Source organism: Homo sapiens, chromosome 16 (assembly GCF_000001405.40).
Source record: "Homo sapiens chromosome 16, GRCh38.p14 Primary Assembly".
NCBI classification, from domain to species: domain Eukaryota; kingdom Metazoa; phylum Chordata; class Mammalia; order Primates; family Hominidae; genus Homo; species Homo sapiens.
Window position 1 is genome coordinate 87,623,098 of NC_000016.10, and position 17,480 is coordinate 87,640,577.

The 17,480-nt window shown below is 54.3% G+C and overlaps 1 protein-coding gene across 2 annotated transcripts in view, besides 1 other annotated feature; it reads left to right on the forward strand.

The window, feature by feature from the left end:
- Positions 1 to 17,480, forward strand: part of JPH3 (junctophilin 3) — a 96,322-nt gene that overhangs the window by 21,263 nt on the left and 57,579 nt on the right. The gene's annotated exons all lie outside the window — the stretch shown is intronic.
- Positions 12,621 to 12,800: an enhancer, noted in NCBI's record as "active region_11324". NCBI's record gives its function as "activates an Ori minimal core promoter by ATAC-STARR-seq in GM12878 lymphoblastoid cells {active_cell/tissue: GM12878}" and the evidence as "EXISTENCE:reporter gene assay evidence [ECO:0000049][PMID:35858748]".

Genomic DNA, 17,480 nt, shown 5'->3' on the forward strand with positions numbered 1-17,480 from the left:
ATGGAGGAGTCCACTCTGCCCACCCCGGATACTGCCCAGCCAGCCTGGGTTCCAGCGTGGGCCAAGCTCTCGTCCTGGTCTCCTGGGAGCTGTGTGGTCCTGCAAGGACCTCAGCACCTTCCTTGCTTTGAGCATCCCTCCCCCAAGGCCTGGCTGACACTCGGAGCCAGTATCCATAGAGGGCTGCAGGGGCAGGCGAGGGTGGACACTGATGTCCTTGGCTCATTCCTCCCTGGCTGGCTGCTCTGATGTCCAGCAGGGTGGGCGTGAGGCTCATGGGGGGCTCCCCAGCCAGGGCAGGACCTGGGGTAACCCTATCCTGGGATGTTTGCTCCCGCTGTGTGGGGGACATGCCGTTTCCATGAGTGACAGAGTCACCGATGTGGCCAGTACCACTGTGGGCTTGAGGCATCTTCTAGTTTAAGGAAATGTTAAATTTCAAGTAAAGCTTAGTGAAAATAAGGATGCAATTTCATTCCCCAACAAAACAACCTCTATTTCCTTCTGTGAACCCCTTGGGAGCTGCAGACCCCGAGTTCCGGACCCCCTCACCTCACTCTCCTCCTTCGGAGCCAAAGTGGTGCCTGAAATCTGAGGCCCCATCTCTGAGTCCTGCACTGGTCCTGGCCCGAACACTCCCCCACAACGCATGGGCCACAAGGACCCTCTGGGCAGATTTTGGGGTGTCTTTGGAGGTTTAGGGGCAAAGCTTGAAAACTGTGGGGTCCTCCCTGGGGACCACATGCCCAGCTGTGGGGTCCCCCGAGGCCGCAGAGCAAGCTTTCTGGAAGATCCTCCTCCTTTGAGAGCCACCATGGAGCCCCCATAATGGGAATGGAGGGTGTTGCCATTAAACATGGCCTTGGCGTTGCCCAGAAGTCTAGGTGTGTCCCTGTCAGCTGGGAGGGGACAGGGTAACTGTGCGGCCCTCCCCAGGGCTGAGGCTGGGGCAGCCTCCAGAGGCCAGGTTGTCGCTGTCACTCCCCAAATGGAGGGTCCCCCTCATTCCCTGATTGCAGAAAAAGGGCTCCAGTAAGTCTGGCTTTTAAAAAATACAGCTTTGCTGACATATGTTTCACACACCGTACAATTCACCCATTTAAACTGTACAGTCCAGTGGTTTCTAGAATATTCAGAGTTGTGTCACTCTCACCATAATCAATTTTAGAACATTTTCATCGTCTCAAGAAGAAACCCTCTAGCTAGCTACCCCTTCCCCATTCCCACGGCTCCCCACCCCTGGTGACCGAGACTCCATTTTCTGTCTTTGTGGGTTTGCTGCTCCTGACGTTTCGCATGCGTGGAGTCATACGCTGAGAGGCCTTTTGTGTGTCGCTTCTGTTGCCCAGCGTTGTTTTCAGGGTTCACCCGCGTGGGAGCTGCATGAGTCCACTTCTTCGTATCGCTGAGTAATATTCCACTGCGGGGCACCGCGTTTTGTGTGAATCTGCCACCACTCAGGATGGCTCATGGGTGGAAACAGCCTAAAGCTGGCAGAGGTTTGGGCTGTTTGCCAGCCCTGGGTCACTTTTGGGCTGTTTCCACCTGGGGGCTATCCTGAGTCGTGCTGCTGTGACCATTTGCGTCCTTTCGTTTCCTCCTGGGTGGAGATTGTGGGGTGGCCTGGCTGGGTCGCTCTGGGCCCAACTCTCTGAGAAGAGCTGTTGAACACATACCCCACAGCTTTTTTTAGTTTTTATTTATTTCATTTTATTTTTTGAGACAGAGTTTCACTCTTGTTGCCCAGGCTGGAGTGCAGTAGCGTGATCTTGGCTCACTGCAACCTCCACCTCTCGGGTTCAAGGGATTCTCCTGCCTCAGCCTCCGAAGTAGCTGGGATTATAGGCATGCGCCACCATGCCCGGCTAATTTTGTATTTTTAGTAGAGACAGGGTATCAACATGTTGGCCAGGCTGGTCTCGAACTCCTGACCTCAAGTGATCCACCTGCCTTGGCCTCCCAAAGTGCTGGGATTACAGGCGTGAGCTGCCTCACCTGGCCTTATTTTATATACTTTTTAAGACGGAGTCTCACTCTGTGAGCCAGCACACCTGGCCCATGGCTTCTTTTAAAAAGAGACTTCTGGAAGCTGAGAAGTCTTTTCCAGGGCTCCACCTGGCGACTGACCACTGGGCATGGTGAGGTCTGCGTTTGGAGGAAGTGGGGTGACAGTGACAGCTGTGACTATTGGAGCACACAGTCGGTGCTGGGCAGGTGGGTCATTCCTGAACCCTCAGTGTTTCCCTCCTCGGGGGTCCTGGCCAGTCACTCTCCTCCTCCACACCAGCCCCCAGCAGCTCGCAGGCTGCCTGGGCCCAGCCCCATCATCAGCCGCTGGGCACCCACCTGAGAGGTCTGAACCCTGCCCTTGGTGCTGCACGGTCACTTGCCATTTTCGCAGAGGGGCCCCCTGAGCAGGAGGAGCAGGGCCAGCATGCACACTGCAGCCAAGGTCCCAAGAAGGAAGTGGCGAGGAGGAGGAGGAGGACTGGCCCCACCTGTTGCCCTATGTCTCACAGCGCAGACTGGGGGAGACGTGAGGATCTAACAGGGGTTCCTGGGGGGCCTTCATCAAGCTGTAATGAATGTTGTGCCAAACCCCTGTCAACACCAGTGGGTACAGCACAGGGTTCAAGGGCTGAAGAAGTGACCCAGGGCTAGCAAAGGAGACCCGGGGTTTACTGCGAGCCGTGGGGTGGGGAGGGAAGTGCAGGGACGGGAGAACCGCAGCGGCTTGTAGACAGCGCAAAGTTCCTATGGCATGTTCACCCCATACCCTCCCCTGATGACCTCCACCTGCCAACCTTCATTCAACCCAAAACTCAGGGCCTCAAGCCCCTGCACAGCGCACGTTCCACGGGACAGGCCAGGGGCTCAGAAGTTCCTCATAGCCAAGGAGGCAATCTCCAGATTGGCCACTCCTGGATTCCTTAGCTCAGGTTGTTCTTGGAGTATGCGTAAGTTACTGCTATCGGGGGTGTTTACCCTCCAACAGGTGTTTGGTGGGGGAGGAGCCTCCTTGGGGGTGCCAAGAGCAACAGCGGCCGGGGTCTCATGTCTGTGGGGCCACTCCCATTGCTTTGTGCTTAGTAACTGGGTCTTCAAGGCAGCCCTGTGGGGTGGGAATCATTTTTATCCTGTGATATTTCATTGTGCACACGTGCAGACTGAGGTTGCTTAACTACCCCAGGCCGCACAGTTATCACCATGGAGCTGGGATTTGTACCCTGGTGGCTTAGCACAGAGCCTGAGCACACAACTCCCACCCGCCTGCCTCTCTCCGACCGCGAGTCCTCCAGGAGGACTGGGGCTCTCCTCCCAGCACCACCACGGCCATTGAGCCCAGTGCCCAGGAGACCGAGGCCTGTGAGGTTTCACCTGGGGCCCGGAGACAGGCTCCAAGTGGTGTGGGGGCCCCTGTGCCCAGGTTTTCCCCGAGGTGCCGGCTCATAGCTACACATGCCCATGGGCCTGCCTGAGCCCGGTGCTCCAAGCCACACCCCGAGTGGGCGGCCTCCCTGCCACGCAGTCCTCGGCCTGAGGCCGCCACACTCAGAGCCACTCAGCCTATGGGGTGGTGCATGTCCAGAACCCTGACCCTTGGGAAGGTTGGGATGGTTGGAGATGCAGATGTTCCAAGGGGAAGTGGCGGGAGCGGGTGCTGGCTGGGACCAAGGGATTCTCAAGAGAAGACGTGAGCTTCACTCAGGCACAGCTCTTCAGCAGCAAGAGTGTTGGTCCTAAAAGATCATGTAAATAGAGGAGGGCATGGTGGCTCATGCCTGTAATCCCAGCACTTTGGGGAGGGCAAGGTGGAAGGATCTCTTGAGGCCAGGAGTTCAAGACCAGCCTGGACAACATAGTGAAGCCCCATCTCTATTTATTAAAAAAAAGTTTTTTAAAAGATAATTTTAAAAGGTGGTTGATTCTGAAATAAGAATCACCTGGGAAGCTCTTAAAAGCCTCAAGCCCGGGCCTGCCCCAGCCCCGCTGAATCAGTGTCTCTGGGCCGGGGGGCGAGGCCAGTCATTAGTTGCCAAAGTTCTCCAGGTGATTCCAACTCAAGCCTCTTTGCCCTAGAGCCGTGGCTCAGCTTGAGGAGCATTAGGGCCCCTGGAGGTTGTTAAACCCACGTTGTGGGGCCCCAGCCCCCAGTTCCTGATGCAGCTGTTGGGGTGAGCTGAAAATCTGCTGCAGAGCCTGCATTTCAGGGTTCCCAGGTGGCGCCACCAGCTTGAGGGGGTCTTGGCGCTATTGTAACGATAACAGCAGCGGTCTCCAGAACCTTCTGTAGGCCTCTGCATGCTCACAGGTTAGACCACTGAGACCACCCATGGATTTTATGTAGTAGACACACAGGGTGGGCCTCGTGCCCAGTGTTGTCTAACATGCTTTGTAAGTGCAGACCCGTTCCTCCCAGTGCCTTTGGAGGTGGAGATTGTGGTCCTTGTTTTACAGGCAGGGACAGTGAAGGGACTGTGACCGCTGTTGGTGCCAGGCATCTGGCTGCAGCTCCCAGGCTCTCATCCCTTTGCTGTGCTCCTTTGCAGCTTGGAGGGAATGATTTTTTATCCCCATCTTACAGTATGGGGAAGGTGAGGCTCAGAGAAGTCAAGGACTTCTGTCTGGGGTCACGTGGCTAGGAAGCTAACAGCCAGGATCCGAGCTCAGATTTGCCCGACTTCCACCCATGCCGGTGGGCGGGTTTTCTCCTTGGAGAGGGGCCAGTCCTGCCCCGAGGTGCCATCTCTGCACAGGTAACAGCATCAGCCAGGCACCCTGCAGGCCACCCCGCCCCTCGCAGGGGTTTCCACTAACCCTGCTGTCTGCCAGGCCAGCCTGTGGGCCCCACCACCTCCTGGGTGAGCGTTCCCAACATCAGAGCTATGCAGCAGGCAGTGAGGGGATCATGGGTCTGGCAGGGGCAGGACTGGGAGGGACACCCTTATGTGCTGTGTCCTGTTCCTGCCTCCCCTGTTCACGCCCCACAGAGGAGGGAGGAAGCTGGGGTTAAGGGCAAGGGACAGTTCCTGCTCTCCCAGGCCCCACAAGGCATGCAAGAGGCTAAAAATCAGAAGCCAGCAGGACGCCCAGGTCTCCTGAGCCTGTGCGTCTGATCTGCTCACCTGGGAGACGATGGTGCTGGCATGGGCGGGTCAGAAGGAGCAGCAGGACCCTTCCACGGCCCAGGACAAGCCAGCCCTCAGGGGCCAGAGCCCCCATGCTGGGCACAGGGCTGCCACCTTGGGCGGTGCCCTCCCTAGCTGCCGCACTTCAGAGTGAGCCCCCATCCCTGGCGTCTGCCCTCCTGAGTGAGTGAGGGAGGGGCCGGGTGGGGCCGGATCGTGATCAGAGCCGGAGCTGGCCTTCGTGAGTGATGGCCTTGCCTGCTCTGTTGCCCGGTGACAGTAAAGAATATTCCTACAGAGTGTGGGTTTTGGAAGCAGACATGCCTGTAGGGGTCCTGGCTCAGACGCTTACCTGACGTTAGCACCTGGGCAAGTGGCTTAACCTCATCACTCGGTGTTGGCATCTGTAAAATGGGCACAATAACATGCTAATGTCTCCCTCGCGGGGCTGTGCGAGAATCGATTCAGTGGCCCGTGGAAACCCCTAGCGTGGCCCGGATGTGTGGTGAGTGGCCTTGGAGGCGTCAGCCTTCATGGGAGGTGGGAGAGCTTTGCCGTCCTGGGTGAGGTCGGGGTAAGAGAAAGCAGAGTCGGTCCCCAGCAGGTGTGGCTGGGAGGATGCTCAGTCACTCCCAATGTTCATTGGGAGTCACTGTGCTCCCAGTGGACAGAGTGTCAGGTAGGGTCTACAGATGAGCCCCACTTCTTAGCCTTGCCCTGGGTCCACAAATCAGCCAGAGTTACTGGGTGTGGGGCTTCCTCAATGTCAGGGATGGGGGTGAACAGAAGGGCTGGGTCCGGAGTCTCCAAGGCTCCTTCCAGGCTCCAGGGCTAACGCTGTGGGGGGGGCCCAGGTCTCCACCTCTTGTTGCTGTGTGGCCTTGGGCAAGTGACTCACTTCTCTGAGCCTCTGTGTGTCATGGGGAAGTGACTCCATGCCTGCTGCTGTCTCGGTATTTCACAAGTGCTCAGCAAATGCCAGCAGACCGTGTCCTTCAGACGCGGCAGCTGGGGTTCCTGACTGCTGGGCTACTGCTGCGGTGGCTCATGAAGGTTTTTCTGTCCCCACTACAAAACAAAAGGCAGCTGATGCAGGAGTTTTAGTAAAGATAATGTATATTTTAGTAAAGATAACGTATATTTGATTTAAAAGAATGCTCTTTATTCTGAGATTTGGTCCATCCCATCTTTGTGGGTTTTTTTTTTTTTAATTTGGATGTGAAAAAGACATTCCCTTTATTTGTAATTGCCCAAAGTCGGAAGCAGCGAAGATGCCATTAAATAGGGAAGTGGATAAGCAAACAGCGGTGACGACGCGGAGCAGCCTTCAATGCCTGGTGCTCAGCGGGATAAGCCCGTGTGAAGAGGCCACATCCCGTGGGGTTCCAACTAGATGGCGTTCTGGAAGAGGTGGAACTCTGGAGACAGTGACAAGATCATTGGTTGCCCAGGGTTGGGGGGGAGGGAGGGACAGACAGGCGGAGCCCGGGGGATTTGTAGGGCAGTCATACTACTCTGAGATACTCTAATGGCGAGTATATGTCCGGATGCCTTTGTGCACACCCATGGAAGGCGTGGACCCTGATGAAAACCATGGCTCTGGTTAATAATGTATCTGTCTTGGCCCATCAATTGCGACAGATGTACCACAAGATGCTAATATCAGGGGAAGTGGGGGGCGAGGGGATACAGTATATGGGAACTCTCTGTACTTTCCACTTATTTTTCTCTAAAGCTAAAACTGCTCTAAAGTATTTTTTAAAAAGAAAAAGTTAAAAAAAGACCACATGAACCCATGTGGAGAGTGGAAGAAGCAAAGTCAAAACATTGCCCAGAGTCCATGCTGGAAGCCAGTTGGGGCGTGGCTGCTCCACTCAGTTGACTGTCTGAGTCTTGTCCCCACAGCACAGATTGGTGGACCTTCAGCCCCCACACTGGAGGCACTGGCCTTCCGAATCCCTTCTCACCTGAGTGGGGTCAAGACGCACCTGGGTCCTATTTGCTGCCCACCTCTGGGGCCAGCTGCTGTTCTTGGCACCTCCCACCCTAGGGGGATGGTGTCTGCAAACGGTGCTTTTGGCCTCTGGCATGTCCACCCTGCCACAATCATCTTCCTCACCCTCATCTGCAGACCTTCTGACACCACCTCTGCTGACCCCTCTCCCCTTGTCCTTCTGGGGAGATCACGAACCTGCCCCTTCCTGGCATTCCCCAGCCAGTCCTCCCTGGGGAGCAGGACTGTGCATCGAGGCCAGGCTCAGGTCTTCACCCACACCCACGTTGACAACGTACGAGTCCCCTCTGAGCCTTAGTTTCTGTGGCTGGAAAAATGAGGTTAATATCACTATTGTGAGAATCTTCTCATAAACGCATCTTTCCTTCCCCTCCTCCTTAAAATTTTTAATCCTTATTGAGCTATTATGTGCCCATAGTTTAAGGTGACATTTGGTGCTAAAAACAAAATAGAGCTTGGAGCAAAAATCATGTGTGTCTTCAGAGACTGACCACCATGTTTTTAAGTGGGTGTGTTTGCCGCTTCCTGAGCTCATGGTCACTTTTAGCCATTATCTGTTGACTCCTACTGTAGTAGATGGAGATTTTCAATCCCTTAGACCCCCATTCTCCCCACTCCCAGCTATCTCAATATTGCTATATTGCATTTTTTGTTGTTAAATCCATACTCAGTGTTTTTCATTATGACTATGTAAGTATTGCTTACTGCTGAGCCAGGCAATGGAGTCTGATTCTGTACACTTCTCATGCATAACTTGAGTTAGTAATTGTCTCGCTTTTTTTCAGTTGCAATTTTCTTTAAATCACTGGTTCTTTTTTCACCTTCCAACTGCTCAGTGAAACACCTCTCAAATGCAGCTTGCACTTGAGCAAACCTGCCAGATTCAGTAATACACACAAATGTACAAATACGTTTGTTTATTGATTGATTGCCTTCTTCCCAATTCTTCCCCCATTTTCCTGGGTATTTCCTTCACTTCTCCTGTGTTTGATCTTCTCATGTCTTCTTTCATGGTTTCCTCCCTCATTTGGGTGGAGCACATCCTGGAGTAGCTTCCTAAGAAAGGATGCATGGAAGATATAGTTTCTGTGGCTTGATTATTTGATAAATTGGTATGCATAGTATGCTAGGTTGAAAATCATTTCTGCTCATAATTTGGGGCGGTGGGGGTGCAGTTTCCCACTGACTTCTAGGTTCAGTGTTGCTCTTGAGAAGCCCATGCTGTTCTGATTCTCAGTCCTTCATTTGTGATCTGTTTTTATGTTTCTCTGGAAGCATTTAGGGTCTTTGTCATTTGAGTTCTGAATTTCATGCCACTGTATCTTGGTTGGGTGTCTCTCCCCTCATTGTGTGGTATCTGTGAGCCCTCCAGTCTGGACGCTCACACCCTTCCATTCCAGGAGACTTTCCTGTTTAAATCTTTGCCCATTTTCCTTCCCTGCTTTCTAGAACTCCTGCTGTTTAGAGTTCGGGTGTTCTGGATGAGTCCTTTAATTTTCTTACTGTTTTGCCTACCTACCTCTTTTTTTGATCTAGTTTCTGAAAGATTTTCTTGATTTTTATCTTCCAGCTTATTTACCAAAATATTTCTTTTAGCTATTATACTTTTAATTTCCAGAAGCTCTTTATCCCTGGTCTTTCCTTTTTAATTGCATTTTATTCTCATTTTGTATTTTATCTCTGAGGATTTAAATTCTGGTCCCTCGATGTCTTCTCCCACCTGCTGCATTTTCTGATTCCCCCTCTTTTTTCCCACTTATTTGTAAGTTTTGGTCTTTTTTGTCCCTGCCAAGGCTTCTCCTTGTGTCTGAGGACCGTTGACTGTTCATATATTAAAGTGAGGTACGAAAAAGCTGAGTGGAAACTTGTGTGTGTGGCAGCCTTCGCTTCTGGCTACAGTCTGTTTTTTCAGAGGAATTTTCCACCTCTCTCCTGGATAAAGTAATCCTCCCTGTTTGGGTGGGGTAGCAAGCAGGGTTTTTGGTTCAGAATGAGCACTTTCCCAGTGCCTGCTGAAGCATTGGCGAAAAGACGAAAAAAAGAGCACTTCCCTGGCAGTCCTCCCCCACCCTCCTCTGCCTGGTGGGCTTGTCTGATTGTTGGCCTAGAAACTTTTCTTCCTGGGTTCTGCAGAAGGAGAGAAAACTCTCTTCCTTTCATTCATTATTTATATTTCTCAGCAATCTGGCTTTTTATCCTTTTTCTTGGTTTGTCCTAACTTTAAGAGATGGAGTCTTGCTCTGCCACCCAGGCTGGAGTGCAGTGGCACGATCACCGCAGCCTCAATCTCCTGGGCTCCAGCCCCTCCTGGGCTGAAGCAGCTGGACTACAGGTGTGCACCACTAAACACACTAATTTCAACAAAATTTTGGCTGGGTGCAGCGACTCACGCCTCTAATCCCAGCACTTTGGGAGGCCAAGACGGGTGGATCACTTGAGGTCAGGAATTCGACACCAGCCTAGCCAACATGGTGAAACTTTGTCTCTATTAAAAACACAAAAATTAGCCGGGCATGGAGGTGTGCACTTGTAATCCCAGCTACTCCAGAGGCTGAAACAGCAGAATTGCTTGAACCTGGGAGGTGGAAGTTGCAGTGAGCTGAGATCATGCCACTGCACTCCAGCCTGCACGACAGAGCTGGACTCTGTCTCAAAAAAAAAAAAAAAATTTTGGTAGAGACAGGGTCTTGCTGTGTTGCCCAGGCTGGTCTGGAACTCTGGGGCTCAAGCAGTCCTTCTGCCTCAGCCTCCCAAAGGGCTGGGATTATAGGTGTGAGCCTCCACGCTTCTCCTGTCCTTTTACTTCATTATTTATATAGTTAATCACCTCGCTAGAGACTGAGAATTCTGTGTCCTCAGGCTGCCATCACAAAATACCACAGACAGCATGGCTTAAACCACAGTTTATTTCCTTGCAGTTCTAAGGCTGGAAGGTCAGGGTCAAGGTGCTGGGAGAGTTGATTGTTCTTTGTTTTCGTGGGCTTGTCCCTCTGTATGCCTCTGAGTCCCTTCATAGAAAGACACCAGGCCTATTGGATGAGGACCCCCAGTGCCTTCATTTTTAACTCAGCCACCTCTTTAAAGACCTTATCTATCTCCAAACAAGGTGACATTCTAAGGTGGTAGAGGATGCCGGGGGTGGGGGTGGGTAGGACTGCAGCATATGCATTTTGGAGAAACGCAATTAAGCCCATAGTGAATTCCGGCAGACATAACTATTCAGAACTCCACTAAGATTAACCAAAAAAAAAAATTTATATATATATATATTAAATGATGGGCGGGGCGCGGTGGCTCACACCTGTAATTCCAGTGCTTTGGGAGGCCGAGGCAGGCGGAGTACCTGAGGGCAGTTTGAGACCAGCCTGGCCAACATGGTGAAACCCTGTCTCTAGTAAAAATACAAAGATTAGCTGGGTGTGGTGGCGGGCGCCTGTAGTACCAGCTACTCGGGAGTCTGAGGCAGGAGAATCGCTTAAACCTGGGAGGCGGAGGTTGCAGGGAGCCAAGATCACACACTGCACTCCAGCCTGGGCGACAGAATGAGACTCCATTGCGAAAAATAAAAAAAATCTGGTGTTGGTAGTAACGATGTAGGGGACATGGTCTCTCTTATAGTCTTTTCTGAGGGTAATTTCTGAAAAACCATAACCCCAAACCCTTGCTTTTGACCAAGCAATTTCATTCTAGGAATTTATCCTAAGGATAAATTTTAATGTCATATGAAGATTAGCTGTGAAAACGGAGGAGCGACCCGAATACCTTGCGGCATAGGATTAGCTTGTAATTTATGTGCTTGTGAAACGGCCGTGCAATGAATGGGGCTCCGTGCAGCCGGGGACAAAGTGGGTGCAGAGAGGCAGGAGGGACAGGCACGGGGCATGGGGGCCACCCGTGGAGAAAGCCCTGGAGCTTTGTGAATGCCGTCTGTTGGCCAGCGCAGGGCTCTCACTGTCACGTTGGACCTGTGCCCAGGGTCTGGTCCCTGATCTGTGAGGGTCCCAGAGGGGGCACAACAGGCGAAGACCCCAAAGACAGGGGTCTGTTCCGGGGCATCCTGGGCAGAGAGTGGGTATAGGGGACAGAAACCCAGCCAAAGCGGCTCAAGTGGAAGATGGGTGCTGGTCGATATGGGCCAGCCTGAGGGGTGTCAGAGCCGGGAATGGGGAGGCCATCGGAAGCCCACAGGAGCCACTTCTGAGTTCCCTCAGGGTGGAGGCCTGGCCGCCTTCCCAGTGGTGCCTGTTTCTTCCTTTCTCTGCGGGTTGGCTTCTCTGCGTCCCTGCCTCCAGGTGGGAAGGGGTCCCTGCAGGCTTCGTCTCCTCCCAGCCGCAGAGCCACCACCTTGGGCTCCCCTGCCCCAGGCCCAGGCTGGTGGATCTAATTGGGATTTGGTAAGCTGTGACGGGAGGGGGGCTCTGGCCCGTGCCCACCCATGGGAAACGGGCCCTATAGGAGGCAGGTGAGGCGGGCCAGAGTGAATCAGTGGTCCAGTCCAGAACGGAGGCTGTGACCCGCCAGGGTGGGAGAGGACGGGCTTTGGGGTTGGGCCTCAGCCCCGAGTGGGCAGGCACAGCATGGGACTGGCTGAGAGACGCTCTGTGTGGGCTTCGGATCAGCTCAGCGTAGGTTTCAGTCCCGCTCTAGCTGGGTGACACTGGGGTTATTTTACCTGTCTCTGCCTCAGTTTCCTTCTTTAAGTGGACACAGTAAGAGTGCTGAGCTCCCGGGGTAGTGTGTGGATGAAAGGTGACCTCCGCCTGCATGGAGCCATGGAAATGTTTCCCCTTTTCCCTCCACTGGACTCTGGGACAGTAGTGGGAGCCTGGGTGGGGGCTTTTGCCTGCCAGAACTCATGGGTCGGGGCCGCACATGAGTGAGTGTCTCCTGGGCAGGGCTGTGGCCATGAGCTCAGGTCTTTAGTGGGCTCCTTGCTCCTCCCAGCAAAGCGTTCACCTTGCCCCACCCTGGGACCTCTCAGGTGCTCTTTGGAGGTGTTGACCTGGGGCATCTGTCCATGGCCCTGAGGAGGTGGAGCACCTGGTGAGGGCTGCGCTCTCTCCAGCTGGGACCCCGGGCTCCGAAACTAAAGTTTTGGGAAGAGTGTCAGCTGACGGGTGGGGCTTCAGAGGAGGAAAAGAAACAAGGGTGTGAGATGTGCAGGCCCTGGTGAGAGACAGGCAGCAGCAAGAGCCTGCCAGCCATACTTACCCACAAGGCCGGCTGAGGGGCTGTGCTGGCCCAGGGCTCTGGCTTTCGGACCCAGACAATGCTGCTGACCAAGCAGGCCAGGCGCTGAGTGACTGTCCCAGCGGATCTCCGAGCAGGGTCCCTTGAGCATTAGGAATGCAGCTTCTCAGGCCATGCCAGCCTGGCAGAACAGGAAGGGAGGGGTACAGCCCTGTGGGGACGCAGCTGTGGCTCGAGTGACACCTGCTGGCGGCCTCATCTCATCCGCTCTCTGCGAGTCTGTGGTGGTTCTAGTCGGCGTTTCACGGGCAAGGTTTAGGGGGTTTGTTCCTCAGCTGGGGTCCACCCACGTCTTCCGACTTCCTCTCTCAGTGTTTGGGCCATCGGTGGGTGAGGTGGCTGCAGCAGAGCCGGGGGCTCCTGTGTGCGGAGGCAGCACCGACATCCACTGCAGCCACACCCTCCTGAGAGGGTCTGGAAGGAAGCAGGGCACCCTGCGAACCCACCTTCCTCTGGGGTGTCTTCCGGGGCCCCAGGGCCAGGGCAACTGGAGCAGACAGGACATTATCTAGCTCTGGGGGCCGTGCTGACCGAGCCAGACCCTCGCGGCGGCCCACAGAGATGGGCAGCTTGCGGGGCAGCTTTGTCCCCCCGACACTGGGTCCTGTCTTCATGCACACAAGCCGCCTGTTCTGCAGGTGACCAGTTAGGTTCGATGGGACAGGCTTTGGGAATCAGCGGCTTGGGTTTGCCCCCCACAGCCTTGGATCTTGACCTTGGGAGAGGCCTCCACCACGTGCCCTGGGGTGGGGTGGGGGCGGGGGCGTCCTGCATCTGCGCCGTTCAGCTCAGTTGCCCTCAGCCGCGGTTGGCCGCCAAGCACTAGGGTGTTGCTGGCACAGCCAAGGAACTGAGCCCAGACTTTTTGTTTACTTAATCAAGCATAAATGCAAAGGGCTGGGGGTGGCCGAGCTGATGGTGCAGGCGTGTGCGCTCAATAGCTCCGTCACAGTGGCTGTCGCTTTATTGAGCAACCGAGGGAGCGAGGGAGAGGAGCAACTGCGGCGAGCGTGGAGGCCCAGCCCGCAGAGCTCCCGTCTGGGGGAAGCCCTGTCCCTCACTGCCTGTTCCCGGCGCTTTGGTGCCCTCTGCTGTGGGGTGATGAGGTCAGGCTACGCAGGCAGTCACGGCAGAACTGAAGGCCGTGTGCTTTCGTGTAGCCAAACCCCTTTTCTTACTGATATCAGTTATAAAATCAGAGCTATGTTCCCACCAGGGGCAAAAATCCAACACCGTGCAGTTGCAAACACGGGGCAGGAAAGACTCCGGCGACCCTCATTACACTGTGCCGGGAGGCATGGCCAGAGCTCCGTCAGTTCATGCGTCGCTTAAACCTAGAGGTGGGTGCGATTGTCACCCTATCTTACAGGTGTGGAAACTAACTCAGCTCCGAGATGTGACTGACCTTCCCCGGCCATAGTACGCGCAGCGCAGTGGGGCCTGGACGCGGCTGCCTGGTTTCAGGTCCACACGCTCCCCAGCACTGCCGGCCAGGCTCCAGCATGACGGGGGTCAGGCCTCCACAAGGCCCTGTCGGCCACGGGAGTTTGCTGCGAGATCCTGGGTCCCTGACTGTGTTCTCAAAGCCCCTAGGATTTGACCAGCCGTTCTTTTATCTTAGGAGTCGGAAATCTTACATCTGTATTTTTATTTCGCTGTGCTTCCGCCCCCTGCTCTGCTACCCTCACCTCACTACGTTGTTTTATTGGCATAGTATAAAATTCACATTTTACAATATGCAATTCAGTGGCACTAGCACATTCACGGGGTTCTGATCATCAGCTCTATCAGGTTGCAGGCCACTTTCATCACCCCAAAACCCCAGCCCTGTGAGCAGCCATTCCTGCTCCTCCCCGGCCATCATCCGTCTGTCTCTGGATTTACCTGTTCATGTTATGGGGGAGAGAGAGAGAGAGAGAGAGTGTGTGTGTTTGTGTGTGTGTGTGTGTGTGTTTTAAATGAAGGCTTGTGGTACGGGGTCTGTTCTCATTTTGCGCCGGTGTTGGGCCTGAAGTGTGTCCTGTGTGCATGTCTCTGACCCCCGGAGTCATGGGACCCAGTCACGTGCTGCGCTGACGTGGAGTCCGAAGTTGTAAAGACAAAGCTGGGTGAGACCCTAGTGACTCACAGGCCCTTCTGCTCTCCTTTCCAGATCTGGGACTTTCTCGGGGACAACCCTGGGATAACAGCCACCACTGGAGTCTATGCTTGAAGGCCATTCCGCCTCGTGGTGCCCTGGGCGAATGTCGAGGGAAAGCAGACTCCCTGTGCCCCCGGGGTTGGCTTCTTGCTCAAGGATTCCAGATGCTGGCCTCCTGGGTGGTGTTCCCATGCCGAGCTCCAGTTGGGGGTGTGACCAGCACCCCGTGCGGGGGCTGCTGGTGTTCTGTGTTGTCAGAGCAGTGCTGTTTTGTGTTTTTCTTTAAAAAAAAAATTTTTTTTTGAGATGGGGTTTCACTCTTGTTGCCCAGACTGGAGTGCAGTGGCACAATCTTGGCTCACTGCAGCAGCCTCTGCCTCCTGGGTTCAAGCAATTCTCCTGCCTCTGCCTCCCCAGTAGCTGGGACTACAGGTGCCCGCCACCATGCCCTGCTAATTTTTATAGTTTTAGTGAAGATGAGGTTTCACCATATTGGCCAGGCTGGTCTCGAACTCCTGACCTCAGGTGATCTACCTGCCTGGCCTCCCAAAGTGCTGAGATTATAGGCATGAGCCACCACACCCGGCCTCCTTTTAAAATTTTAATTTTTAATGAGATGGGGTCTCACTATGTTGCCCAGGCTGGCTTTGAACTCCTGGCCTCAAATGATTCTCCTGTCTCAGCTGTGTTTTGTGTTTGCTCCAGCCCTTTGCTGGTGAACAGACACGTTCACTGGACACCTAAGTGCCTGGACCGTGGAGCACAGGGTGGGGGTGCTGTTCATGGCCGGAACGCCAGAGGCTACTGGGGAGACACAGGAGCGACCACCATGATCCACAGACCAGGACTGTACAGAGCACTTGAAGGGGCGGCCTCAAGAATTGTGCCGGAACAGTGAACATGAGGGCTCCTGGCTCCCCTCTGAGGACAAGGGTTAGGTAGGAGGGGACAGGGGCAGGGCTGAGGTGGGTCGGCTTGGTTCATGGCAGGGCTTGGGGAGTGAGGAGAGTGAGGAGTACCGGGACCCGGGGTCCCTGCTCTGCTCACCTGCTGAGAATGAGCCAGTGTTGGCCTCTGGTCTCCATGTCTGTAGAGAGGCTTCTCTGCTTCCCCTCCTGTAGAATGGGAACGACAACATCCAGCCATAGAGTGCTGAGAATTCAGGGACAGGACACAGCGAAGGTGCCCCAGTCCCCCTTCCTGACCCCAGCCTGGCGTCACCCTCTATCCAAGGGAAGAAGCAGGGATCTGCCTACGAATCTCTCAGGATGTGAAGTGTGGCCCCCAGCCTGGTGCCTTTGCAGTGGGCCCAGGACGGAGGGTAGCCTTGGCACCTGGGGAGGACAGGTGAACCTGGATCCAGACTCTGCCTCAGGTGACAGCCCTGGGTTCTAACGCTGCCGCTTCCGCTTCCTGGCTGTGTGTTCCTAGGGCGGCCACAGCCCCTCTCCAGCCTCAGTTGCCTCACCTGGGAAGAGAGGTGCAGGGCTTTTGCGATGATCATAATAGTTACCATCAATCGAGCATTAGCGACTTTCCAGCACCTTAAGGCAGTTACCCTGTGATCTGCACAGCCGCCCTCCCCTCGTTGCAGATGAGGAGACTGAGTCAGAGAGAGGTTAACCCAGACATTCCCAAGGTTGTAGATTGAGAAAGTGTTGAGTTGGGATTCGAACTCAAGTCTGTCTGAGGCCTCCTAGCCCCTTCCTGACCCCAGAGCCTTCCGCACCTCATGGCTCCACCAGACCCTGCATGAAGCTCCTGGTGGGCAAACTGGGCACCTTCACTTTAAACGTTGAGGGAAAAATACACATAACCTACAGTGTCCCGTCTCAGTCATCTTCACGTGTGCCGTTCTGTGGCATTAAGCACATTCACGCTGTTCAACCGTCACCAGAACTTTTCCATCTCCAGAACTTTCTCATCTTCCCAAACCGAAACTCTGTCCCACTAAATGCTCACTGCCTGTCCTCCCTCCTGTCCTCCCTCCTGGCCTCCCTCCTGGCCTCCCGCCTGTCCTCCCGCCTGTCCTCCCTCCTGTCCTCCCTCCTGGCCCCTCGCACCCTCCGTTCTACTTTCTGTGTCTATGAGTCTGATGACTCCAGGGACCCCAGGAGAGTAGAATCCCACAGGATTTGTCCCTTCCAGCCTGGCTTATTCCACTGCATGACGGCCTCAAGGCTCATCCAGGAAGCAGCAGGTGCCCGGCTTTCCTTCCTTTTTAAGGCTGAGGAATATTCCACTGCATGGGGGGACCACGTCATTTTATCCCCGATGCCTTCACTTTTCAGCTCTTGTTCCCATCTGTATCTGTAAGCTGGAGCATCCCTTGATGGAGGAGGGATCTCAGGGAGTGGGTGAGCCTCTCCTCTTTCCAGGGTCATCCTCCACTTTGCGGGGGCAGCCCACCTTCCTGGAGTTCCAGCTGAGGGGGGGCCCAATTTAACAAGCACTTTGGGAGGTTGAGGTGGGCGGATCATGAGGTCCAGAGATTGAGACCATCCTGGCCAACATGGTGAAACCCTGTCTCTACTAAAAACAGAAAAAAATTAGCTGGGTGTGGTGGTGCATGCCTGTAGTCCCAGCTACTCAGGAGGCTGAGGCAGGAGAATCGATTGAACCTGGGAGGCAAAGGTTACAGTGAGCTGAGATCGCGCTACTGCACTCTAGCCTGGCGACAGAGCAAGACTCCATCTCAAAAAAAAAAGGGTTGTCCGGTTACCTGTGCATGCCAGGTAATCGACAAATGCTTTTTATTTTTATTTATGTATTTGTTTAGAGACAGAGTCTTGCTCTGTCGCCCAGGCTGGAGTGCAGTGGCATGATCTGTGCTCACTGTAACCTCCACCTCCCAGGTTCAAGTGATCCTCCTGCCTCAGCCTCTTGAGTACCTGGGATTACAGGCACCCATCACCATGCCTAGCTAGTTTTTTTGTATTTTTAGTAG